Source organism: Homo sapiens, chromosome 7 (genome assembly GCF_000001405.40).
Source record: "Homo sapiens chromosome 7, GRCh38.p14 Primary Assembly".
Classification (NCBI taxonomy): domain Eukaryota; kingdom Metazoa; phylum Chordata; class Mammalia; order Primates; family Hominidae; genus Homo; species Homo sapiens.
Window position 1 is genome coordinate 158,725,806 of NC_000007.14, and position 25,560 is coordinate 158,751,365.

Below are 25,560 nucleotides of genomic sequence, written 5' to 3' on the forward strand. Positions count from 1 at the left end.
AGACATCATTTTCATACTTTCTTGTAATTGTTGACATGATTCCCTTATTCCCGTGAACACGTTAAAAGTGGATTCAGGGTCTTGTCTTCGTCCACATGATGTCCAGCACCAGGACTTCCTTTGGGGTGGTTTATCTGACTACCTTTTTCCTGTGTGTGGCCTTCACTCTGCTGTTTCTTTGCATGCCTCATCCTTTTTTCATTGAATCTGGACATTTAAGATAATATACTCCAGCCTGGCCAACATGGTGAAACCCCGTCTCTACTAAAAATACAAAAATTAGCCGGGCATGGTGGTGGGCGCCTGTAGTCCCAGCTACTCGGGAGGCTGAGGTAGAAGAATTGCTTGAACCCAGGAGGTGGAGGTTGTGGTGAGCCAAGATGGCACCACTGCACTCCAGCCTGGCAACAGTGCAAGACTCATCTAAAAAAAAAATAAAAAAAAATAAAGATAATATAGTGTGGCAACTCTGTAGACAAGATCCCTCTTCCACTCCTGGCTTTGTTGTTGATGATGGTTGTCACTGTTGTTTCTTTGTGTTTAGTAACATACTTGGACTCTCTAGAAGCTGTGTTGTCACATGCTGCCTCTGAAGCCTCTGCTGGGTTAGCTCACGTGCCAGCTAAGGATTGGAAAGGACTTCTTTGAATACTTCAGACCAGTTGGTCTCCCACCTGCTGCCAAGGGGCCCTGTGCATGTGCTGGGTGCCTTCAGTCTTCCAGCAGGCACCTCACAGCCAGAAATGAGAACTCTTGCAGGTCTTTCCTGGGGATGTGCACAGCCCGGCATGTGCATGTGTCTAGCACCCCAGCAATGCCAGAGTTTTACAAAGCCCTCTGTGGACAGTCTCATCCCCTAGGTTCTCCTTTCAAAGTGTTTGGTTGGCCTCTTGTTTGTCCCAACTGCTACCACTGCCTCAGGCAGCTGCAATGTTAAACAACCGCCACCGATTCTTCTGGACCAACAAACCTGGAGATGGAGTTTTCCTGGGAGCCTGAGAGTTGAAATAGTGACAATTCCCTGGGGATGGAACTTTTGGAGAGCAATAAGCTCCTTCTTTCCCCTCCAGAGGCAGCAAGGCTGCTGGTCATCTGTGCTGTTGCACTTCTAAGGCTGCTGCTGTATGACTTTTTCCATATTTTCCAATAGCTATTGGCATTACCATATACGACACAGACATTTCTACATCCAAATATTTTCCAGATTTTTTTTTTTTTTTTGGTGATGGAGTCTCACTCTGTCGCCCAGGCTGGAGTGCAGTGGCATGATCTCGTCTCACTGCAGTCTCTGCCTCCCCCAGTTCAAGTGATTCTCCTGCCTCAGCCTTCTGAGTAGCTGGGATTACAGGTGCGCACCACTATGCCCAGCTAATTTTTTGTATTTTTAGTGGAGATGGGGTTTCACCATGATGGCCAAGGTGGTTTCAAACTGCTGACCTTAAGTGATCCACCTGCCTTGGCCTCCCAAAGTACTAGGATTACAGGTGTGAGCCACCACGCCCGGCCTCCAGATTTTTATTTATTTATTTATTTTTGAGACCGAGTCTCGCTCTGTCGCCCAAGCTGGAGTGCAGTGGCGCGATCTTGGCTCACTGCAAGCTCCGCCTCCTGGGTTCAAGTGATTCTCCTGTCTCGCCCTCCCGAGTAGCTGGGACTACAGGCGTGTGCCCCCACACCTGGCCGATTTTTTTTATTTTTAGTAGAGACGGGGTTTCACCACGTTAGCCAGGATGGTCTCAATCTCCTGACCTCGTGATCTGCCCACCTCGGCCTCCCAAAGTGTTGGGATTACAGGTGTGAGCCACCACGCCCGGCCCAGATATTTTTTTTGAGACAGGGTCTTACTCTGTCGCCCACACTGAAGTGCAGTGGCACAATCATAGCTCACTGCAGCCTCCTAACCTCCTGGGCTCAAGAGATCCTCCCACCTCAGCCTCCCAAGTAGCTAGAACTGTAAGTGTGCACCCACCATGCCCAGCTAGTTTTTTTATTTTTATAGAGATGAGGTCTCACTCTGTTGCCCAGGCTGGTTTCAAACTCCTGGGCTCCACTGATCCTCCTGCTTCGGCCACCCAAAGCGTTGGGCTTACAGGTGTGAGCTGCCATGCCTGGCCTCCCGAAGCGTTGGGCTTACAGGTGTGAGCCACCGTGCCTGGCCTTCTTTGCAGAGTATTATTATTGGGATTTCCAGGTAGGCAATCTTGTATCTGAAAATGACTATCTCTTTGTAAAAATTTCCAGATAATCTTTTTTCTTTGTATTATATTGCCCAGGAAGTTGAGAATAACAGTAAATAGTTAAAGGCAGACTTCCTGGGTGTTTCCAACTTTCATGTCTCAACTGTTTCTCAGATGAGGAGGCCCTTGGCTTTTTCTCTCAATAGTATCCATCACGCTTAGCAGTATCTTCTCCTTAGTCGTCACTAACAACCGTTAGTAGGTATATATCTTTTTTTGAATGGAAACTTGTTAGACGAGATGAATTATATTTTGGTCTGCCAAACGTATTTATTTCTTGAGACAGGGTCTTGCTGTCTCACCCAGCCTGGAGTGCGGCAACGCAATCATGGCTCACTGCATCCTCGACGTCCTGGCTCCAGTGATCCTTCTTCTGCTCAGCCTCCCGAGTGGCTGGGACCATAGGCATGCGCCACCACGCCTGGCTAATTTTTGTATTTTTGGTAGAGACAGTGTTTTGCCATGTTGCCCAGGCTGCTCTTGAACTCCTGAGCTCAAGTGAACCACCTGCTTTGGCCTCCCAAAGTGCTGGGATTACAGGTGTGAGCCGTCTGCCAAACTTTATACATTTATTCAACAGATAATTGGTTTACCATGTGTCTGGAACAGTGATAGGCGACCAGTGAGTTTTAAATAAAACTCACATAATCTCTGCCCTTGAAAGTTTACAGTCCATGTAGGAAAGTTTTAAATAAAACTAAATTGTAATTACGTTAAATTTGGTGAATCAAAGTAACACAGGCCGGGATGGTGGCGTAGGCCTGTAATCCCAATACTTTGGGAGGCTGAGGTGGGGGGGATCCCTTGATCCCCCTACTGCACTCCAGCCTGGGCAACAGAGTAAGAACCTGTCTCAAAAAAAAAAAAAAAAAAAAACACATACACACACATGATGCTAAGAAAACTCACAGGACACCGAGATCAGCTTTCAACTGAGAAGTTACGGGGAGTGGATGTGAGCTGGGCCAGTCATGGTAAGAGCCCGCGTGGAGGTGCTGGGGAGAGGAGAGGAGAGGAGCAAGTGTGGAGGTGGGTGGGGCAGGAGCAGGTGTGGATGTGCTGGAGGGGAGGGGCAGACGTGGAGGTGCTGGGGGGAGGAGCAAGCATGGAGGTGGGGAGGTTGGAGCAAGTGTGGAGGTGGGGGGATTGGAGCAAATGTGGATGTGCTGCGGGGGAAGAGCAAGCGTGGAGGTGGGGGGGGAGGAGCAAATGTGGAGGTGCTGGGGGGAGGAGCAGGTGTGGAGATAGTGGGGGAAGAGCAAGCGTGGAGGTGTTGGGAGAAGCAAGTGTGGATGTGCAAGCGTGGAGGTGGGGGGCTTGGCGCAAGCGTGGAGGTGCTGGGGGGAGGAGCAAGGTGGAGGTTGGGACTGGAGCAAATGTGGAGGTGCTGGGGGGAGGAGCAGGTGTGGAGATAGTGGGGGAGGAGCAAGCGTGGAGGTGCTGGGGGGAGGAGCAGGTGTGGAGATAGTGGGGGAGGAGCAAGCGTGGAGGCGGGAGGGTTGGAGCAGGTGTGGAGGTGCTGTGGAAGAGGGGCAAGTGAGGATGTGCTGGCGGGGAGGAGCAAGTGTGGAGGTGGGGGCGTTGGAGCAGGTATGGAGGTGCTGGGGAGAGGGGCAAGTGTGGAGGTGCTGGGGGGGAGGAGCAAGTGTGGAGGTGCTGGGGGGGGAGGAGCAAGTGTGGAGGTGCTGGGGGGGAGGAGCAAGTGTGGAGGTGCTCGGGGGAGCAGTGTGGAGATGTTGGGGAGTTCCGAGCAGGTGTGGAGGTGCTTGCGGGGAGGAGCATGCCTGGGGGTGTTGAGTGGGAATGTGTAGGGGCCGTCTGTGGAACTGAGAGGCATTGATTGAGGTACAGTGGGTGAGGGTCCCAGAGGAAGAAGAAACACTCAGCTGCAGAAGTCAGGAAATGCTCTTGCTCTTGAACAGTGGAACACAGCTGAGTGGGAGTGATCTGTGTCTGAAAGATTCTCCTGTTGTATGGAAAATGGAGCAGGCAGGGGAGAAAGATTGAGAAATGGAGAGGGACGGTGGCTTGGACTGAGGGGACAGAGTTGAGGTGGCTACATTCTCCAGTTAGAGCTCAAGGACTTGGTGTCTGCACATGGGCTGAGGCAGTGGGAGGTGGCTGGTGCTGTCCAGGTCTCAGCTCCAGCACCAAGACGGATGATGGACAGACAGATGGACAAAGGGTGTGCCTTGAGGTGTCCATGTGACACAGAGGACGGGGATGCAGTGGGATGAACTGGTCCTGAGCTCAGACAACATCTGTATCAGTGACATACATCTGGAAACCAGGGTATTGATGGTATTAAGAACACCACATAAAAATAAAAAGTGATCAGAACCAAAACCCACATTATGCCAATTATTGAGTCTGGTTGAAGGTGAAGACAGTGTTGGAAAATGGCCAAAAATGTGCAAGGAAAATACAGAGGAAGGCGCTACAGAGGCCAAGAAGGATGGCCCACAGTCAAGGAGAAAGGAAGTGCCCGGTGTCAAAGGCCCACAGTCAAGGAGAAAGGAAGTGCCTGGTGTGAAATGCCGAGCGGCTACGAGGAAAAGCGCAAGGGCTCCACTCAAGTCGATCCAGACCACCAGTAATGAACGCAACAGGAAGGGATACTCCAGTATCACCCTCAGTGTTCCAATGTTCAGGTGTCTCGGCAGTCCCCGCTGCACTTCTCAGAGCCCTAGTTAAAAACACATTTAAAGTTTATTTTTTCTACGTATGATTATCCTTTAGAAGAGCTGTTTTTGACATGTGGAGTGTAATGTGCTGGGCAGAGGAGAGTCAAACTGAGCTGGGAACAACAGGAAGGATGTCAGCTGCTCTGACGTAGCTGCTGGGAAAACGCGAGTGCAGACAGCAAATGAAACAGTGCACGACGTCTCCTTTCAAATTATCTGACTGCACACTGAACACCTCCCTTCAAAAGACAGAGAAAAACAAATCACGACTGAGCTAACATAAAGGTTTTATTGAATAAATACATGCACTGTCACGTGAAATTAGTTGAACAGAAAGGAGGTTCTCTACTTTTTAACCCCCATCCCCCACCGCTGTTCTCTATTTGCAGTGGGGGGTCCAGCTGGAGGTGGAATAAATGCGGCAACCACAGAAAAAACACACAGCTACACACAGGCCTGCATTTGGCTTATGTGCCTGAAAAAGAAGGGCCGACCTCTTGATAAAGAATGTCTGTAAAAGGAATTCTTACCGTGCAGAATATATTATCATGGTAAATACAGTTACAAGGCTGCTTCTATTTTATTTATTTTTTGAGACGGAGTCTCACTCTGTTGCCCAGGCTGGAGTGCAGTGGTGCGATCTTGGCTCACTGCAACCTCCGCCTCCTGGGTTCAAGCAATTCTCCTGCCTCAGCCTCCCGAGTAGCTGGGACTACAGGCGTGCGCTCCACCACCACGCCCGGCTAATTTTTGTATTTTTAGTAAAGATGGGGTTTCTCCATGTTGGCCAGGCTGGTCTTGAACTCCTGACCTCAGGTCATCCGCCCGCCTCGGCCTCCCAAAGTGCTGGGATTACAGGCGTGAGCCACCGCACCCGGCCAGCTGCTTCTATTTTAATCTGAACTTGGAAACACCTTCCTACTTTAAGGCACAGGATCAGGATAAGAACCCACATGTACGAGCTAACAGAGCTGCACTTCAAATTTACTAAGTTAATTAATTTTCCCTTCATTGGCTTGGCTCAAGGTAGAAAAGTTAAAATTCCCTTTTCTTAGATAAACTGATTATTTAAAACTGAAAATTAACGTTTTGACAACTCAAGAGTGTCTGACATCGCTGGGATCCTGGAGTGCTGAGTGTGGCCTCGATGGTGGCTTCACTCCTCCACATCTGGGAGGCACTTCAGTGCCTCAGAATCACCCCCTTTTTTTAAAAGAGAATGGAGGCAGCTACTGGAGGCCAAGCACCTCCAGGCACTCAAGGCCCTGGGGACAGCGCTACTGACTCCACTGCCTCAGGGCAGGCACGGTGCTGCTCTACCACTTCCTCTGGGCTTTGTACCTTTAATTGTGTCTACTCTGCCTAAGTGCTTAAATAAAGCATTCCATTAAGCAAAATACACATGGAGCGGATTACACACTGGACTGCAGAACTCAGATGTATGGGATGTTGGTAAAAATTACTGGCATGCTACAATTTCCATGAGTGCTGCTGCTTTATAGATTATGACAGAAGACTTTCAACAGACCTGATTTTTAAAAAACCCTCAACAAATCTAATACTAAGGGAAAGCAACTAGATTTAATGTTGTTACCTGTCTTCCATAAATACCATAGTTAAATGTTTTGTGTGCATACATGTTCGTATTTGTCTATAAAGGTATTGATACGCTTCCCAAATAATCCTATATACTAACATTGGAAATGGTTTATAAAGAGGCTTTACAGTCGCATGTCATTCAGCAGGAGGGAATATACTGGTCTTTATGATTACATGAAATATGCTGTGAAGCTACAGACTCCATTATAAGTAAACCCATGGTTCAAAGTGTAAGTTATAAATTGAAACAAAATCAAAATCTGCTAGAAGGGAGGGTGGGTAGACAGCCACCAGCCTTGTTTATAAATTCAAACAAAATAAGAATCTGCTAGAAGGGAGGGTGGGTAGACGCCACCCGCCCCGTCACAGGCACTTTGGTTTGTTTGGTCATGTGAGTTACCCACAAGTTGTATAGTTCCATGAAACAAGCTAAAAGCTCCAATTTAAATTACAAAGCTATACTTTCCTTAATATATTTACACATAGTTTTAAGATGTTCTCATGGCTATGGAAGCCATTTTCAGCATATAGCTTATAATATACACTTAATCGTCTACATATGTGCATTCTTTCTTTACAGACACACACAGCCTACGACACTGCAACAGAGCCTCACCTCACAGGAGGTCTGGGGGACTCTTAAGTACAGAAACCTGCTTTTAACAGTCTAAACAGGATAAAAATTGCATAACAATATCCCAATATTAAGGTCAGTCATGGCATAAAGTGAGGCAGCCTGGGAAGTGGCTGCTGAGAACAGCAGGGGCCGGGCTCGCAGCTGTGGCGCCCCCAACCCTGGTGGTGGCCAGTGCACATCGGCTCAAAGGTCCCACATCCTATGTGTGAGGTCACACTGGGGGTTCCTGACAATAATGAGATCGAGCTTTCAATTTTTAATGCAATATCCTGTCTACTCACTCCAATCTACCTCACAACCTTTAAAAGGACAACGTGTACCTTCCTTTTTTTATAGGCTGGGAAAACATTGAAAATTAACAAAGCTCATGACTGATTGTTTGACAACAGCTTAATTGCTAACATTGAAAGTCTGCTCTTACAGTTGAGGAAAAGTACAAGGTGTCTGTATACTGTTTCATGAGTAAGTTACAACAGCAATTAAAATAAACATAAGACACTTCATTTTTATGTAAGAAATTTCAGATTAGCATAATGTGATTTATGAACCATGACAATTCTCTTAATATATTACTCAGTTATAAAACATTTTTCCTTATAAGCCCTTCAACTTACTTCTCAATAATACATCCTTATATTTATGAAAATGTTAATATTTTGAATACTTTATTTCATCTTTCATAATGGGCAGAAACATACTAGCATTTAATAATATTTCAGCTTTTCTTTTCAAAAAGAAACACCACAAAATAGGTCACTGAGAACTTTTTGCTGCCAAGATGAAAATGATTATTTGTCACACGAATTTAATAAGTTTTAGAAGAAAATATATATATTTCCTTGATCTATTTCCTTCTGAATTTAAACCAGCATGTAAAGATTATAAAAAATAGTCTATTTACATGGCATAGTATACCTCAGTGATATATAAACAAGGCCATAATAAAGCACAGACACATCCGACTCCTACGGACACAGCTGAGCAGAGTCCACAGACACAAGAGCTACCGCCGCCCTACTGCACGTTGTAGGAACTGGCGAAATCCTAGAGGAAATCCAACACAGAAAATTCAATGATAATATTGGCCAAATTTGCCTGAAATGTCAACAATTTTATAAAACTATTAAGGTATGTATAACTAAATCCATGAAATTATAAAAATAACATTGGTACGTCTGTGAGAGGGTGTGTTCCGGGTAGAGGTGGAGAGCTACGCTGAAGAGGACGCCTCCTGCCTGCTGCGGCTATGTCATCGCCTGAGGCCTCGTCCCATCTTCCGTGAGGTCATACCTGAGAAAGACAGTGACAGGAAGGTGGTGACGGATACAGGACCAAGTAGGAAAAGCCTATCAGATACGTGTCGGGTTCCACCACTGTCTGTGGGGGACACTACCCACTGGGCGGGGAAAGCGTTTTTAGCTACACACTGGGGTTCTCTGTCTGCAGCAGGGACACTCACCACTGGGTCCAGCCTTTGGCAAGTTCTTCAGATGCCAGAGCAACCAATACCTGTGGGTTGTTAAAAAAGCAGTTAAAGTAGGCTGGGCTGGGGGCACTGGCTCCCGTCTGTAATCCCAGCACTTTGGGAGGCCAAGATGGGAGGATCTCTTAAGCCCAAGAGTTTGAGACCAGCCTGGGCAAGATAGTGAAACCTTGTCTCTATTAAAAGTAAAACAAATTTATCTGGGCGTGCTGACACGCACCTTGGTCCCAGCAACTCGGGAGGCTGAGACAGCAATTGCTGGAGCCCAGGCATTTGAAGCTGCAGTGAGCCATGATCGCGCCACTGGACTTCAGCCTGTGCTTCTACAGACCCTGTCTCTAAATAAATAAACAAATACATAAAGTAGGCTAAGACAATGTCTTTTAGATCTTTTACCACTTCTTCTCATCTCTCTAATCTTCTGTCTTCATCTAGGAATATGGACTCTCCCTTTTCTGAAGGCTCTTACTTTTTCAATCTTTTCTACCCCCCTGAGCACCTGTAAGCTACATCGCTGAATACATCTAAGAAATCCTTCATGCAACCAGCAGTCTTAAAATTCAGCTATGACGGAATATCAGCGGAGATGACTCACAGAAGGGTTGGCCCATGTGCCCTCCATGGCAGCACAGCTGACGAAATGATGCCCGTGACTCAAATCTCTTCCTCCCCAACTGAACCTACTCTCATTCCTAAATAACATACACTCACATGCCAAAGTGAAATGTGAAATACGGACAAAGAGTAGAAGAAATTCACATAAATAAAGCCAAAGAATTTTAGAAAAAGAGCAGAGCCATCAGTTGAGGAGATGGAATTGTAAGAGATTATTTTCCTTCAATGTGATACTTGAACAAAAATGTGAAGACTTAACTTAAAATATCTTCAGAAAGCACAGATGTTTTGACTGTCTTTATAGCCCATGATTTATAAACAAGCATCGACCTCGTAAGTTCGCCCCTTCCACTTACACAGACATGGTCTAAACACTGCACTGCAGGTAAATGTTCAATTTTACAAACTGCAGGAACTGGTTGAGGATTCGTTTGGCACTTACTTTGCCAAGGAGCCCTTTGTCTTTGGACAGGAAGCCGCCACTGTTCTTCACGGCAACGTCGAGCGTTCTCCTCTGCACTTCTGGTAACGAAACACTGAAATCAAAGCTGAAATAGGAAACGAGAGCCTTACTTTATCCATCATTCTGCTGTATTTTCTTATAACTAAAAATGGCATTTCTGCTCATGAGATCATTCCAAATGTCATGTTTGTTTTTTATTATAAAACTGAGTTCTTCTACCTAATGTTTTAATCTGGCATTTCAGGAAGACTCAAAAACCAACATTTTTTTCATTTCCCACACATAAAAGAAGGCTCTGGCATCCCATAGATGTCTGGGTCCCAAGGTCCCTGGCTCACTCACGGGTGGGTGAGGAGCGTCTCTCAACATGTCTGACTCTTCCAGGGGATTAAAATGTGGGATAATGTTGACAAAACAGCAATTCCAGAGCAGCCCACTCACTCAGGCTTTCCACTCAGTCTGGTTTAGTCTTCAGGCCCTATTCCCACCATCTCCAATAAAAAAAAGTATGTGCTTGCAGCTTCGCAGGAGGGAGAAGGCCTCCAAAGCACTCCCGATGCTCAGCCAGACGCTGCACTAAAGTGCCTGCAGGGCGTCTCTCCTCCGGGCTGCGGGTGCCTGCCCCAGGCCACCGTGCTGGGGGGCAAGTGGAGTCTCCAGACGCTTAAATGCCTCGGATGGGTAGGAGCACCCTGCACAACCTCATCGGGCTGATGCACGCCTGCCAGTTTCTGATGGGTGTTTTACATAAAGCTACTTGTATGAAAGTACAATGAATGAGGAGGATGTTTAAAGATGAAACGTAAACTGAATTAGCAGATAGCGACACCATACAACTGTATTATTATCATTTCCCAAAACAAGGGTGGGTTTTGAAGCACTAGGGGACAATCACCTAAGATACCAAAATGGTACAGATTAGCAGCTCTTTAAAAGTGGGGGCCAATGACCCCTGGGGGTGTCTCTGAGACCCTCCTAGGAGGTCACCAAATCACCCTGACCACAGAAGCAGGCTCCAGCCCCTCTTGAGCCAGACCACTAAAGAGATGAGCAAAAATGCTGAACAATAATACCATTCTTTTCATTATGTTTTTTATTTTTGGAAATACAGTTGTTTTTCCAATATGTCATACGGTAAGATGTTTGGGGCTTACTGTTATTTAAAAATAAAATTAAAAATATATGTATCCTTAAATTCTCAGTTTTAATTGATAACATAGTTAAGTGTCAACAGATATAACCCCCAAAAATGAGTTCTTCAGGGCCATCAGTAACCTGATCTTTATTTAATCACTAGTCTACATGTCCACAGGGTTGTAACTTGAATTTACTGTATTTAGAGCTTCTACATGAAGGTCAAAATGCTTATTTGTTTTGAGAAGTATGTTTGCTAAAAGTTGGTTTCTGATTGAACTTCTCAACAGCTGATTTATGTGCTTTGGCCACTCAAAGGCACCATTTAGGGCCTTCTTAATCCGTCACTTCAACCGGGCAGTCTATCCTCAGCTGGATAAAATACCGTACCTTTGATCAAACACTGGATTTAATGTTTTCTTTGACACGTGTGTTTTCCTCCTTCCTGACCGCCTCTTGTCTGGTAATAAATACATGCGGACATAGGGGTCAGAGCCGTCTTCAGAGAAGGCAATGAGGTTTCTTACAACACAAACCAGATAAGACGAGGTATTAGGACCGAGAAAAAGAGAATGAGCAGCACATTCAGATATGCTTTATCAAGCTTTGATTTCATGTTTATCTACAAACCGAGAAGCAACAAGGAACAGAATGCGTGAGGCGCTTTTGCCTCCCCCGACGGCTGCCTGGTGGCATCTCCCAAACTCCTTTCTTAGTGGCTTTCTCAGCAGCGACTTCGGCCTTCATTTCTCAAGCCCAGAGTTTGGAGGACGTTCCAAGTCCTTGGTCTCTGCTTGTAACAGAGTGACGGTTGTCTTTCCATAATGCTTCTGCCATTTTCTCTCTCACAGCCAAGAAAGCCAGGCCCCCACCCCACAGTGCCTACCCCTCCAGAAGGGGGCTGCTCCTTTGCAGCAAACGCGGTCAGGTGCCCAGCTGCACAGGCCCCCACATTCTTCGCTTGCTGACTGACCACAAAGTCTAGGAGGGATTGTTTTGCTAGACTCCTCTACAACAGTATCCCCCACGATCATTATCTAAGTGGCAAGAATATATGAACTTCTCAAGAGTGATGTACTGAACTCTACATTTTTATCATCTTTCTAAATGGTGCTAATTTTATTTTCCTATGTTTCCAACAGCTATTTATAAGCACCAAATTTTTATATCATATTTTAAACCACTAATAGGACAGAGAAAATTGCATAAAAGGAAAATAGTTCGTAAGCCCACAGTATCATTGTTAACAAATGCAATTAATGCAACAGTCACCTGACTTTATACTTATTAATATAACAAACAAGTTAAAATAAATTCTTCCTGATTAGGCCAGTCATGGTGGCTCAAGTCTATAATCCCAGTGCTTTGGGAGGCCAGGAATTAGAGACCAGCGTCTCCATAAAAAAATTAAAAATTAGCCAGGCCTGGTGGCTTCCACCTATAGTCCCAGCTACTCAGGAGGCCTGGCCAACATGGTGAAACCCCGTGTCTACTAAAAATACAAGTTAGTCGGACGAGGTAGTGCACGCCTGTAATCCCACCTACTCGGGTGGCTGAGGCAGGAGAATTGCTTGAACCCAAGAAGCGGAAGTTGCAGTAAGATGAGATTGTGCCACTGCACTCCAGCCTGGGGGACAAAGTAAAACTCTGTCTCCAAAAAAAAAAAAAAATACACACACACACACAGACACACACACACACACACACACACACACACACACTCTTCCTGCTCTAGGCTACACATTTGTACAGTATGCTACTGTGCTGAATACTGTAGGCAATTGTGACATATTTGTGTATTTTTTTTTCTTTTTGAGACAAAGTTTCGCTCTTGTTGCCCAGGCTGGAGTGCAATGGCACGATCTTGGCTCACAGCAACCTCTGCCTCCTGGGTTCAAGTGATTCTCCTGCATCAGCCTCCCTAGTAGCTGGGATTACAGGCATGCACCACCACACGTGGCTAGTTTGTATTTTTAGTAGAGACAGGGTTTCTCCATTTTGGTCAGGCTGGTCTCGAACTCCAGACCTCAGGTGATCTGCCCACCTCAGCCTCCCAAAGTGCTGGGATTACAGGCGTGAGCCACCATGCCAAGCCATATTTGTGTATTTAAACACATAAAAGGTACAGTAAAAATACAGTATGATCTTAGGGGACCGTTGTACTTCGGTGACCAAAACGTTGTCATGTGACATACGCAGTGGTGACACCCTTTACGAGCACCGTCTCTAGAGGTTTAATTGCTTTGTCCTTTCTAAATGAAACATAAATGGATGTTTGGAAATCCTAAAGGCGGTGTCTACATCATCCTATCCAGCATCCACACTCAGCAGCACAGCAGCGGGCGCGTGGGACCCCAGCCCCCACCTGCAGGCATGCACGACCACGATAAGCTTGTTTCTCTGCGAGCTGTGCCGGATGGTCAGCTGGATCTGCCCCAGTGGAGACTGTCCCAGGGTCGTCCCGCTGTGGGAAAAGAGCAGAAAGTCACCAGCTTGCCTGAGACTGGAGAACGTTGTGATTCATTGGTCCACTGTACACGATAAAATAATTTCTATTCATTTAGACAAAAAGAAGTCAAATTACCCATGAACTTAAACATAATTTGAAACTTCTGGGTACAAGTCAAACAGATGAATATTTTACTTGAGGGTTCAATATAAATTAATTATTCAAAACTGACATTATTTCTTTTGTTTTTGTTTTTTGAGACGGAGTTTCACTCTTGTTGCCTAGGCTGGAGTGCAATGGCGCAATCTTGGCTCACTGTAACCTCCGCCTCCTGGGTTCAAGCGATTCTCCTGCCTCAGCCTCCTGAGTAGCTGGGATTACAGGCGCCCGCCACCACGCCCAGCTAATTTTTTGTATTTTTAGTAGAGATGGGGTTTCACCATGTTGGCCAGGCTGGTCTCAAATTCCTGACCTCAGGTGATCCACCTGCCTCGGCCTCCCAAAGTGCTGGGATTACAGGCGTGAGCCATCGCGTCCAGCCAACTGACAGTTTTTTAGTTAGGGTCCTGAAAACTAAAAGTAAAATCCTAAGCCCCCACCCCACTCCCATGTGAGTGGACCCAGGGGACCCCAGAGAAACTTAAACACTGAGTTCCTGACCACAACAGGACGGGAGGTTATTTATACCCCCCCCTTCGCAGTTCAGATGCAACAACCGACTGGCATTAATGCTGCAGCAGAGATCGTTAAGACTGAAGGAACAGATTCCTTGCGGCAGTAAGATACCAAGCTACAAAGAAGACCTGGGGCCATGCCAGGCAAGGGTAAGCCTCACACCCAACGCTTAACAGAATAAACTGGGTTCTACCTGCCACCAGGTGTTTCTTTCTCCAGCAGCTAAACAAGCACTGGCCTCGAGAGCAGCAGTGTTAAAGCAAAATCCCAGCTTGTCCTGATCCAGATGCTGACTCAGTGACCCCTGCTCCACCGGCGCTAACTGCAGCTTTGACTGACGAGAGGCTGATTTCACAACTTCCTCCTGATGGCAGACCCTGACCACGGACTGCTGCTGGCTGTTCTAGAGAGGCTGGGCACTCTGCGGCATTCACAGCTCCTCCTGGAACCTGCTGAGGACGCGTGCTCCGCACAAGCTCCTGCCCTACCCTTCCTCCTCTGAGGTGCTTCCGGGCCTGTCAGGCTGGCCAGCCTGCAGGCTGCAACCCTATAAGGATAAGGAATAGTCTCCTTTCTAAATGTGCAGATCTTATGATTCACCAATTGAGCACCCGAGGTTAAAACCACACAGTGTCCTTATTACAAGCATCAGCCCTGTGGTCCTTGTTAAGCAGTTTCTAGCCTGTCCTACCCGAATTTGCATGTCCCGTCTCAAAGCCTCATGCAAGCCACGTGCTCTCTTCCCATCTGATGAGACTGCAGCGCCCTTCCTTCCATTTCTCTCTGCTCAAGGATGGAACACAGACCCCCAAAATGACAACTGGTCTTGTTTGTTCAGTGGCCCCTAAGATCATTTCTACTTCCCAAATTGAGCTCCTGAGAAAAAGTGTTTCCTTGTTTAAAATTCTATTTCCTTCTGGAGCAAGAGAGAAGGAATGTTTTCTTCTTTCCAAAATAGTGGACATGAGAAAGCATGAAAGAAAAAAGTGAGTGTGGCTCAGAGGAGGGCGGCTGTGCAAGCTCCACAGTCTGCGTGTGCTTTTTCTAACAGCTCAGAAGCACCTTTGCCTCCGTTTCTGTTACTATTTTCTTATTATTCAACACACCTCTTATAACACCACACAGGGAGAACTATTTCAAAGGTCAATTTTGTTTCTTCCACCAAGAGGAAAAGGTTAACATCTGAAGCTTGTGATAACTACAGACAACTTTTTCCTCCGTATCTAAAGAAACCCTTAACACACACCTATGAGTCATGGGGCTTAAATAAGGAGCCAACACAGACATCCGAAGACAAACAAAAGAGACTGAGCAACAGGGATGGGATCCAACTACGTGAAAGAGCAGGTCTGTCCTCACACAACGGGGAGGCCAGGGCTTCTCCAGTGGCCGCAGCGAGGCCCGCGGGCCAGCTCTGCGTCTGTCTTCCTGGCAGAGGCCCAGGCACACAGCAGCGTCCCGGCGCTGCCTCCTGTCTTTCCTACTGTGAAACCTATTACTCCATCACGTTCTAATCTTTAATGACTAAATCCTAGAAAATGGCAGGTTTTATTTCCAAAGTCCGAGATGCAGTGAGCAAAACGGCAACACAACCTGAAGTGCTTTCAGTTAACCTAAGATTAGGCCTCCCTCCCCAAAGCATGCCGGCCTCATGCTCTGCTGCGTTAAACGACTCTCCCCCAGCGTGGGGTGGGGGGCGCTTGCTCTGCTGGTGAGAAACAACATGGTGGCACTTAGTTACTTTTCCAGCTGCCTCAGCCTTTGCCGCAGCTCCTGGGTGGCGATGGGCAGCGAGATGTCCGAGGCGATGCTGGGGGTCGGCTCCTTGACTGAGATGTGGCCTGGGGAGGCCAGGAGGCTGGAGGAGCTTCTGCCCAGGTCGTGCAGCCCCTGAGGGCCGGCCTCAGGGGGCTGGGCCTTTTCTTCCATACCAGGCTTATCACTGCCCCCAATGACTGGTGTGGATGGAGCTGTGTTGCTGCCACCAGGGCCTGGAGACCCAGACATATGAGATTTGATGGATGTTTTCCTCCCCTCTTTGGACACAGAGGGACGTTTGACTTGAGCTGAGTGTTGGTGGTCTGGAGGCCTTTCTCGCTTTTCGAGATGGAGCACCTAGAGGTGGACATAAACATAAAAATTAAACTTGGTGACACTGGTAACATCCTAATACTGGAACAGCCTGGGATGTCTTTACCTGCAAAAATTTCTTTAAAACTTAGCTCAAAAAAAAATTTTTTTTTAAAGGAAAGTTTAGGTAACCAAAATGTCACTTCTGTGATACAAATACCACTTTTTTCCCAGAGATGAGGACCTGCTAAGCTGCACAGGCCAGAGTGCTGTAGCTCTTCACAGGGGTGACCATCGCGCACTACACCACAAGCTCCTGGCCTCAAGAGATCCTCCCGCCTCAGCCTGCCAAGTAGCTGGGGCATCGCCGAGGCCTGCGTCTTCAGGCTCTGGTGGCAGCAACAGGGCGGTGGCAGTGATAAGCCTGGTGTGGAAGGGCAGGCCACCCCCCTGAAGCTGACCCTCTGGTGCCACACAACCTGGGCAGAAGCTCCTCCATCCTCCCCAGGCCACGTCTCAGGCAAGGAGCCCCCCATAACACTTCTGCGTATTCCTCTAGTCTCTTCCGTTTCCATGTATTTCTACACAATTGTGGGACAATGTTTTTACATCAAGAGCCCAGAGTCGCATTTCCTCGACACAAGACCAAAGCCCGTATTCTACATAAGGGGTTTCCACCCGGCGTCCCCAGAGGGAGGAAGAAAGTCCAGAACCCCTGCTATCCAGCAAGATCACCCCAACAACCTGACATGAGTGCAGGAGCAGGGGGTTCCCGCAGGGCCTGGGGTCTCCCAGTTGTGTGAGCACATGAGCTGGTCCCTGGGCTGGCTTGAGCAGAGTCCACACCTTGTAAATCACTCCACTCACGTGACAGCTTAAAGGTTTTTTCTGGTTTTAGGAAATAACGCTGCGGTGAACATCTTTATGTTCCTGGTCTCCCCACACTTTGTATCACCAAAACAAAAGTCAGGTTTCTAGAAGAAAGGCCAAGGAGCCTTCAGATGAGTGGCTCAGGGTTGTCGCAGCTCCCTCTGGAGAGGTGTGCGACACCTCCAGTCTCTGCCGGGGCAAGGAGGCTGTTCCCATTGCCCCCTCAATAGAAGACATTTGTAATTTTCTTAAAAAGCTGGCTCTTTATTTTAATTTGCATTTCTTTGATTCATGAGTTTTAGTATTTCCCCATATGTTTGCCAGTTTTACTTTCAATATTTCCTTAGCTATTTACAAATGAATCGTGATTTTGGACAAAAAATATTTTTTTCCTGTAAGTTCTACTGTCTCGTGGAGTTTTATTAAATTCTCTCTTCTGAACAACCTTTGAAAAGTTAAGACTTAGGAGAAAACCTTGTTGATACCAACAGTAACACTTTCTGGGCCAAAGGATAACGGTAAGGTTGCTGGGTTCACAGGAAAGCACTGTTTGAGTAGCCGTGGGCCTGCTCGGGCAACCTGGAAACGTGGCCTGTTCTATGGCTGAGTCCCAGCCTTTGTCTTCTCCCCGGAACCCTCTGATACCCAGCAACAATATCTCCTCCCTGCACCGGCGCCCTCCTGCGGCCCAGAGCTGCAGCCGACACAGAGCTTTCTTCACCGGCCTCATGCCCGGGGCCCATGAGTATCCCTGCCAGCACCCGCCTCCCCATCCCCTATGGTGTTCACTGCAGGACGACACGATACCCGCAGGGCAATCTTCATCTTGATGGTGCTGTTTGGACCCGAGTTACTGAGCTGGAAGCGCTGGCTCACAGTCATGTCCTCACTGGTGAGCAGCTGGCTGAGGGGGACCTTCAGGTTCCCCAGGGAACACTGGTGCTGCTCGTCTCTGACCTGCAAAACACAGGGTGGAAACACTGGCATAACTAGGATCATGTCTGCAGAACCTTTCTACGTTGTCTACGCTCCTGACCCTTTGTCCTCAGAGATAGGAACTTAGAAAATGTAGAAAGGGGCCAGGTGGGGTGGCTCACGCCTGTAATTTCAGCACTTTGGGAGGCTCAGATCACCTGAGGCCAGGGGTTCGAGACCAGCCTGGCCAACATGGTGAAACCTCATCTCTACTAAAAATACAAAAAATTAGTTGGGCATGGTGGCGCGCACCTGTAGTCCCAGCCACTCAAGAGGCTGAGGCATGAGAATCGCTTGAACCTGGGAGGAGGCGGCTGCAGTGAGCTGATATCGCGCCACTGCACTCCAGCCTGGGTGACAAAACTGTTTCAAAAACAAACAAACAAATGTAGAAAGGTCCACAGACAATATTAGTCTGTAAGAAAGATATTTTTAAAAACCCAAACATATTTCAGCCATATTCTCTTAAGTAGTGTTTCCATAATGATTAACATGGTATGAAATCTCCTAACAAAGACACAAAACACTGTTAACAAGCAAAAGATCTGCTATTTCGTCATTATAGATTACAATGAGCACAGAAAGAAATGATGTAATAATGACAAATGAGAAAAGCAGTAATGACAATAATGACCAATCGGTTCGGAGAACCCTGGGTTAATAGGCAATAGTCTACCTGTCTTTTAACCCCTGGGAAAATGGTGGCAATACACACTCATAACGATGTATACAGTTTCCATTCATGACATTTATGGAGACAATACATTTCTAAGTACCTTTTAAGCCTTCTCCATTCAAAATCCACATTAAAGAAAATTTACAGCAAGGCATTTAAAAATTTTTTAAAAAACAGAGGTGGATCTCACTATGTTGCCCAGGCTGTTCTCAAACTCTTGGCCTCAAGTGATCCTCTCATCTCAGCCTCCCAAAGTACTGAGATTACAGGTGTGAGCCACCATGCCCAGCCTCTTTTTCCTGTATAATAACCTTCTGCATTATCTCTGCAACAGGAATTATTCCTGTTAGATGGCTGTAATATAAAATAATTTAATCAAATAGAGTAAGAACTCTGAAGGTTTCTCAGGCTATACAAAAATGGTCAGAGAAATTAACACATAACTACTCAGGAAAACCTAAAAGGTTGATTGCATATTTCTTTTCAAACTAAACTATAATCACAAAAGCAGTTTTAAATGAAATAACTATGACAATGTTTGTGGAACTTTAAAAATTATTTTTAAAATCCAAGGTCCAGTAAGCATAGATTATTTTGAGAATACAGAAGTGCACTTTATGAAGGAAAAACCAGCTAGACAAAACACAAATCCTTTTGTATAAAACAGAATGTAAAAAAGTATCAGATTGGGGCAAAAGTAATTGCAGTTTCAATGGCAAAAACTCCAATTACTTTTGCACCAACCTAATAAAACAACCAACACAGAATAATGAGACAGGGTCAGGCAAGCGGCATGACCAGGTCTCCTAGGCCCGGCTGTTCACACTCACCTATCTAATGAGACAGGGTCAGGCAAGCGGCATGACCAGGTCTCCTAGGCCCGGCTGTTCACACTCACCTATCTAATGAGACAGGGTCGGGCAAGCGGCATGACCAGGTCTCCTAGGCCTGGCTGTTCACACACACCTATCAAGAGAGGTTCAAGATACAAGTAGCAAAAACAGAGGCTGAGGAAAAAAACATAAATTCAGAGATTTAAACGCCATGCTCTTCATACCTGATATAAGTAGTCTGAGAACTAGTAAGGCCCCAGAGGGCCTGAGCAATGGCAATGCCACCAACCACCCTGACCTACTGACATTCATGAGACACTCGCCAACACCAGAAAGGCACACAGCCTACAGGTGCACGTGGAGTGTGTCCCAGGACAGGCAGTGCTCTGGGCCATAAAGCCGGTCTCAAACATAAAAGGGCTCATGTCATACAAAGTATGTACTCTGACCACTATGGAATGAAATTGGAATCAATAATAGAAAGATTAAAAAAAAATCCCCAAACATATGGAAACTAAATAACAGACCAAAATAACCCATACACAGGTCAAAGGAAAAAACTGAAAGGGAAATTAAGGAAATAATAATAATCAAAAGGAGACATCAACGACAAGTCAAAATTTGTGAGATGTAGCTACAGAATTTAAAGTGAAATTTATTGGAGTAAATGCCTACATTATAAAAACAGAAATGTCTCAAGCTTCTTCTTTAAGAAACTAGAAAAAGAGAAGCAAAGACCCAAAGTAAGTGGGACTGAAATAATAATGATCATAGTAGAAATCAATGAAATAGTAAAAGAAAAGCAATAATGACAATTAAACAAAAAATTGGTTAAGAAAATAAAATCAATAAACATCTTGTAAGACTTATTAGGAAGAAGAAGAGAGAAGACAGGCCAGGCATGATGGCTCACGTCTGTAATCCCAGCACTTTGAGAGGCCAAGGTGGATAGATGGCTTGAGCTCAGGAGTTCGAGACCAGCCTGGGCAATGTGGTGAAACCGCATCTTTACATACATAAATAGACACACACACACACACACACACACACGCCCCTCCAACACACAAAAATTAGCTGGGTATGGTGGCATGCACATGTAGTCCCAGCCACTTGGGAGGCTGAGGCACACATACACACATACCCAAAACACAAAAATTAGCTGGGTGTGGTGGTGTGCACCTCTAGTCCCAGCCACTTGGGAGGCTGAGGCGGGAGGATTGCTTGAGCCTAAGAGGTCAAGGCTGCAGTGAGCCATGACTGCACCACTGCACTCCAGCCTGAGTGACAAAGTGAGACCCTGCCTCAAGAAAAAAAAAAAAAAAGATTAATAAAGCACCAATAATAAAGACAGTGTGATACTGGCATAAAGACAGACATATAGAACAATGGAACAGAAGGAATTCCAGAAACAGACCTATACATATGGGCAACTGAATTTCTGGAAAGTTGCTAAGCTAATAAATTAGGGCAAATAATAATCTTTTCAACAAAGACTGAACAACTGCACAAATGCTGAACAACTACACAGCCATATTAAGAAAAAGAGGCTGGGCACCGTGGCTCACAACTGCAATCCCAGCACTTGGGGAAGCAGAAGTGGGAACATCGCTGCTCGAGCCCAGGAGTCTGCGACCAGTCTGGGCAACACTGTGAGACCCTACAAAAAATAAAATAATTCTCTACAAAAAATAAAAAAATTAGCCAGGCATGGTGGTGTCTGCCTGTAGTCCCAGCTACTCCGGAGGCTGAGGCAAGAGAATCACTTGAACCCAGGAGTTGGAGGCTGCAGTGATCTGTGATTACACCACTGCACTCCAGCCTGGGTAACAGAGTGAAACTCTGTTCTCAAAAACAAAGAGGCGGGGTGCGTTGGCTCACGCCTGTAATCCCAGCACGTTGGGAGGCCACAGTGGGCGGATCAGCTGAGGTCAGGAGTTCAAGGCCAAGCCTGGCCAACATGGTGAAACCCCGTCTCCACTAAAAATACAAGAAATCAGCCAGGTGTGGTGGCGCGCACCTGTAATCCCAGCTCTCAGGAGGCTGAGGCAAGAGAATCACTTGAACCCAGGAGGTGGAGGCTGCAGTGACTGAGATCGCACCACTGCACTCCAGCCTCCATGACAGAGTGAGACTTCATCTCAGAAAGAATGAAACATTAAAAAAAAAACCCCAAACGTCTTACAAACTCAGTATTAAGAAGACAAATAACCAAATAAAAAAGACAGGCAAAAAAACTGAATAGACATTTCACCATAGAAGATACAAAGACCGTAAAAAAGCATAAAAAGGTGCTCAACGTCATTAGTAATGACGCTGAAACCACCCGGTAATACTCCTATCTACCCACTAACACCACAGCACTGGCGAGATGTGGGGCCCGCTCGACTCACATGCACTTCGGTGGGAATGTGACACGGCACAATCTCTTTGGAAAACAATTTGGCAGTTTATTAAGAAGCTAAACATGAACCTGGCAACCTGCTCCTGGGCATTTTACCCAACAGAATGAAGGCATATGTACACACAGTCTTGTATGTGATATTCACAGCAGATTTATATGTAATAGGTCTAAACCGGAAAGAACCCAATCTTTTATCAATGTCTTACTCACAGGTAAATGGATGAGCAAATTGTGGTATATCCATAACTACTACTCAACAATAAAAAAAGACAAACTGTGGGTATCTGCAACAACACAGGTAAACCTCAGAATAATTATCACCAGAGAATATAGACAACTAGAGGACATACCGCATAATTCTATTTGTATAAAATCCTGGAAAATGTGAACAGTAATCTACAGTGACCAAAGGCAGGTCTGTGTTTGCCTGGGGCTAGGGGAGGCCCGGGTTACAGAGAGATCTACCAATTGTCCTGATTCTGGCGATGGATCCCCAGGTGTATACACGGGTCACAACTCAGCAAATTGTATACTTTAAAAAGTCAATTATTTGTCAATAAATTGGTTAAAAAATGCAAATAAAATACCTCAACTTCAAGGTCCTGGCGCTTGGGATTGTGAATGAAGAAAGTGAAGTTTTCCTCCCACACAGGTTCATTGGTTTTGTATCGAATCTAGAAGAAATATCCAAATTATTAGCTCTGATATTTTCTGTGGAAAAGGGCTACTCATTTTATGTGTTTAGAAGCTTAGAATGAAAAATAAAAAGAAAATAAATAAAACAAAAAACTAGAAGCTTAGGTTGACCTTAATTAAATTCCAAGACATGTATTTGCAGGTATGCACTATTATGTATTGATGGTGGATGTGTTGAAAAGATAACGAGACGGTCTAAAGCCTTTAGAGTTTGTCATGAGGCCCCAACCTGTGCGCCCACAGATAAAGGCTTCGTGTGCGTGGCCTGGCCTCGGTTCTGTAATGACTTTTGCACCAACGTAATAGCTCCTCCGAACTGAGGAGGGTGAGCACTTGGGCACGTCTCTTAAACTGTTCACAATTCAGTGAGTGATGACCTGTAACTTCGGGCAATTTCTTTCTTTTTTTTTTTATTTTTTATTTTTTTTTGGTAGGGGGGACAGAGTCTTGCTCTGTCGCCAGGCTGGAGTGCAGTGGCGCAATCTCAGCTCACTGCAACCTCCACCTTCCGGGTTCAAGCAATTCCCCTGCTGCAGCCTCCCAAGTAGCTGGGATTACAGGCACGTGCCACCATGCCCAGCTAATTTTTTTTCTCCTGTAAGGAAAGTAGAACATATTACAGCAATATGTAATAGCCATACCCTCTTTTCAAGTCGTAATTCTAACTGTATTGGTTGAATTTTAAGCACTGTTGGTTTTCTTTTAAACTATTTATAGAGTGCTCAAGACAAACTTAGGAATTGTTCCCATGTGTCTACTCATAAAATCAAGCAAAAACATATTCATCTATTACTTTCTAATGTTATTTTTGTTTTGTTTTTTGAGACAGAGTCTTGCTCTGTCACCCAGGCTGAAGTGCAGTAGTGCAATCTCGGCTCACTGCAACCTCTGCCTCCCGGGTTCAAGCGATTCTCCTGCCTCAGCCTCCCGAGTAGCTGGGATTACAGGCACCCGGCACCGCACCCGGCACCATGCCCGACTAAGTTTTGTATTTTTAGTAGAGATGAGGTTTCACCGTATTGGCCAGGCTGGTCTCGAACTCCTGACCTCAAGGGATCTCCCTGCCTCGGCCTCCCAAATTGTGGGGATTACAGGTAGGAGCCACCACACCTAGCCACTGAAGTCATTTTAAAAAATGAACAGTATATTTCTTGGTATTTCAAGTAGCTGGTTATCTATATCAAATGACTGATCTAAGAAAAAATAGATCTGAAAAGCCCTGGTCTCGATGCCCACGCTATCACACAACTGAATGTATTTGCAACCCGGCATCCCCAGGTGAGACGGCAACACGGACAGCGCCCGCACGACAGGCACCAAGGCTGAGTCCAGGGCGAGCACCTTACCTTGCTCTCCTGGGCCTTGTGCCCAACTGACATCTGGACAACAGGATTTGGGTTGCTGCTTATTTTCTTCCCTGACTACCCAAAACAAACAGAAAACAGACAAAATAAATAAACACATTTTAAATGGGTCTTAACTAAAAATGAAATTACTGGCTTATATTAGTAGTCATTTTTATTTATCTCTGATATTTAAGGGAATATCTGGGAACAATTTAATGGGAAAACATAAGCTACACACACCCCAAACCATAACTACAAAACTTTCATTTGCACACAAATTTTAAAGGTTAGAGTCTGGTATTTTTAAAGCCAACTACTTTGGAAAACTGAATCTTCTAAAAATTCTTAATGTTAATCACACTTTTCGAAAGTTCTTTTATTTACAAGGATAACGAAAATGAATAAAGTGCAATTAATGAAAACCAAAAATCATTAAAAGACAAATGTAAAAGAACGTAAAATTCAGAATATTTCTCTGGCGGGAATAAAAATAGTACAGAGTGTCAGATACACGGTTTTATGTTCTCAACTTAGCGTCTTCTGTTTGAGCATTTTTAAGCTTTCACATATCAAATCTTGCTTACCAGCTGCTAAATAATTTTGACTGGAAGAATAATCATCAGTTTAGAATCATATTAAATTAAGCAGATATAAATATGAAGAAAAAATTCAGGACTAGGAAAAACGGTAAGAAGTACACACTAGCACAGATAGTTGATAGGAGAAAATAGTAAAGCAGCAGATACGTGTGACATGAGGTTTATTTATAACTTAGCCCCACAAGAAGATGCAGTTAAATATCTGTGTTAGTGGAAATTAATTAGAAGGTCACAAAAATGTTTTTGAGTTAAATAATTTTAGAGTCAAGACTCAACAATACAGCAGTGTCAGAAATAGGTGTCAAAATCCTATCATTATTGGAAGAAATATTATTAGTTCAAACCTACTGCAATAATCTATTTTCTGGTTCATCTTTCTGATGTGAATGAATTCTGCAAAATAAGTACTGTTGAAAAAAGTTTCCAAGGCTACAGATTACTGTGGAAGAGAATACTAATTTCCCCCCTAAGTTAATTTTCTCCTTTTTCCTTTAATATTAGATTCCCAAGTTTTAGCTGAGCACAAGTCCTCTGTAAATACAGATTTTGTTGGCTAACCTCCCTTGCAGTCAGGCATGGCCAAGTAACTAAGTTCTGGCCCCACAGGAGGCTGTGTCCCCTCGGGCTGGAGCCACAGGTAGCTCGTGGCAGATCCCCAGGCCAGAACCCCCGGACTTTAGAGGGACATCACCTACTGCTACTTCTAAGTCAGTTCTATTATTAGATACAGAAACCAAGTGCTCCTTAATTAATATAAACACTTCATCTCTGAAAAAGTGGTCACCTGTTCCTAGAAATTGACTGCACCTTGTCAATTTTAAAACATATACTTTTTTTTCCCCAATTTTCTAACATCTCTGAAAACAGAATGAATCTTAAATCGATAATATATACCTTTTTGGGGGAGGTTGGCAGTAGTGAGAGTTGTCACTGCCCTAACCAATTTATTTCGCTTCCATTTTCTGTTTAGGTATACCTGTCAGTGACATGATAAAACTGTTTATCCTAAAATTCTCTAAGTATAAAATAAACACTGTCAAAACTTAGCGGCATTTAAAATCTTATTGGTTCATAAAATAATGATGTATCTTAAAATGGATGATGTTTTCAATCCTATG

General features: G+C 45.3%; 1 protein-coding gene across 8 annotated transcripts in view, besides 1 other annotated feature; it reads right to left on the reverse strand.

Annotated features, from left to right (window-relative positions):
- Positions 1-5,191: 5,191 nt before the first annotated feature.
- Positions 5,192-25,560, reverse strand: part of ESYT2 (extended synaptotagmin 2) — a 98,513-nt gene continuing 78,144 nt past the window's right edge. For 7 of the 8 annotated variants that reach the window (NM_020728.3, NM_001367773.1, XM_047420659.1 and 4 more), the window contains 9 exons: positions 23,844-23,918; positions 22,389-22,475; positions 17,724-17,873; positions 15,718-16,091; positions 13,218-13,316; positions 11,243-11,374; positions 9,698-9,803; positions 8,617-8,666; positions 5,192-8,447 (listed from right to left, as the gene is read on the reverse strand). In NM_020728.3, the coding sequence (NP_065779.2) occupies positions 8,402-8,447; positions 8,617-8,666; positions 9,698-9,803; positions 11,243-11,374; positions 13,218-13,316; positions 15,718-16,091; positions 17,724-17,873; positions 22,389-22,475; positions 23,844-23,918 (1,119 nt within the window). In that variant the 3' untranslated portion in view covers positions 5,192-8,401. The remainder of the gene's footprint in view (positions 8,448-8,616; positions 8,667-9,697; positions 9,804-11,242; positions 11,375-13,217; positions 13,317-15,717; positions 16,092-17,723; positions 17,874-22,388; positions 22,476-23,843; positions 23,919-25,560) is intronic. The other variant, XM_024446846.2, reaches the window with a different exon arrangement.
- Positions 8,042-9,241: an enhancer, noted in NCBI's record as "BRD4-independent group 4 enhancer chr7:158526538-158527737 (GRCh37/hg19 assembly coordinates)". NCBI's record gives its function as "activates an origin of replication core promoter dependent on BRD2, P300/CBP, MED14 and CDK7 cofactors, and independent of BRD4, by STARR-seq in HCT116 cells {active_cell/tissue: HCT116}" and the evidence as "EXISTENCE:reporter gene assay evidence [ECO:0000049][PMID:35650434]".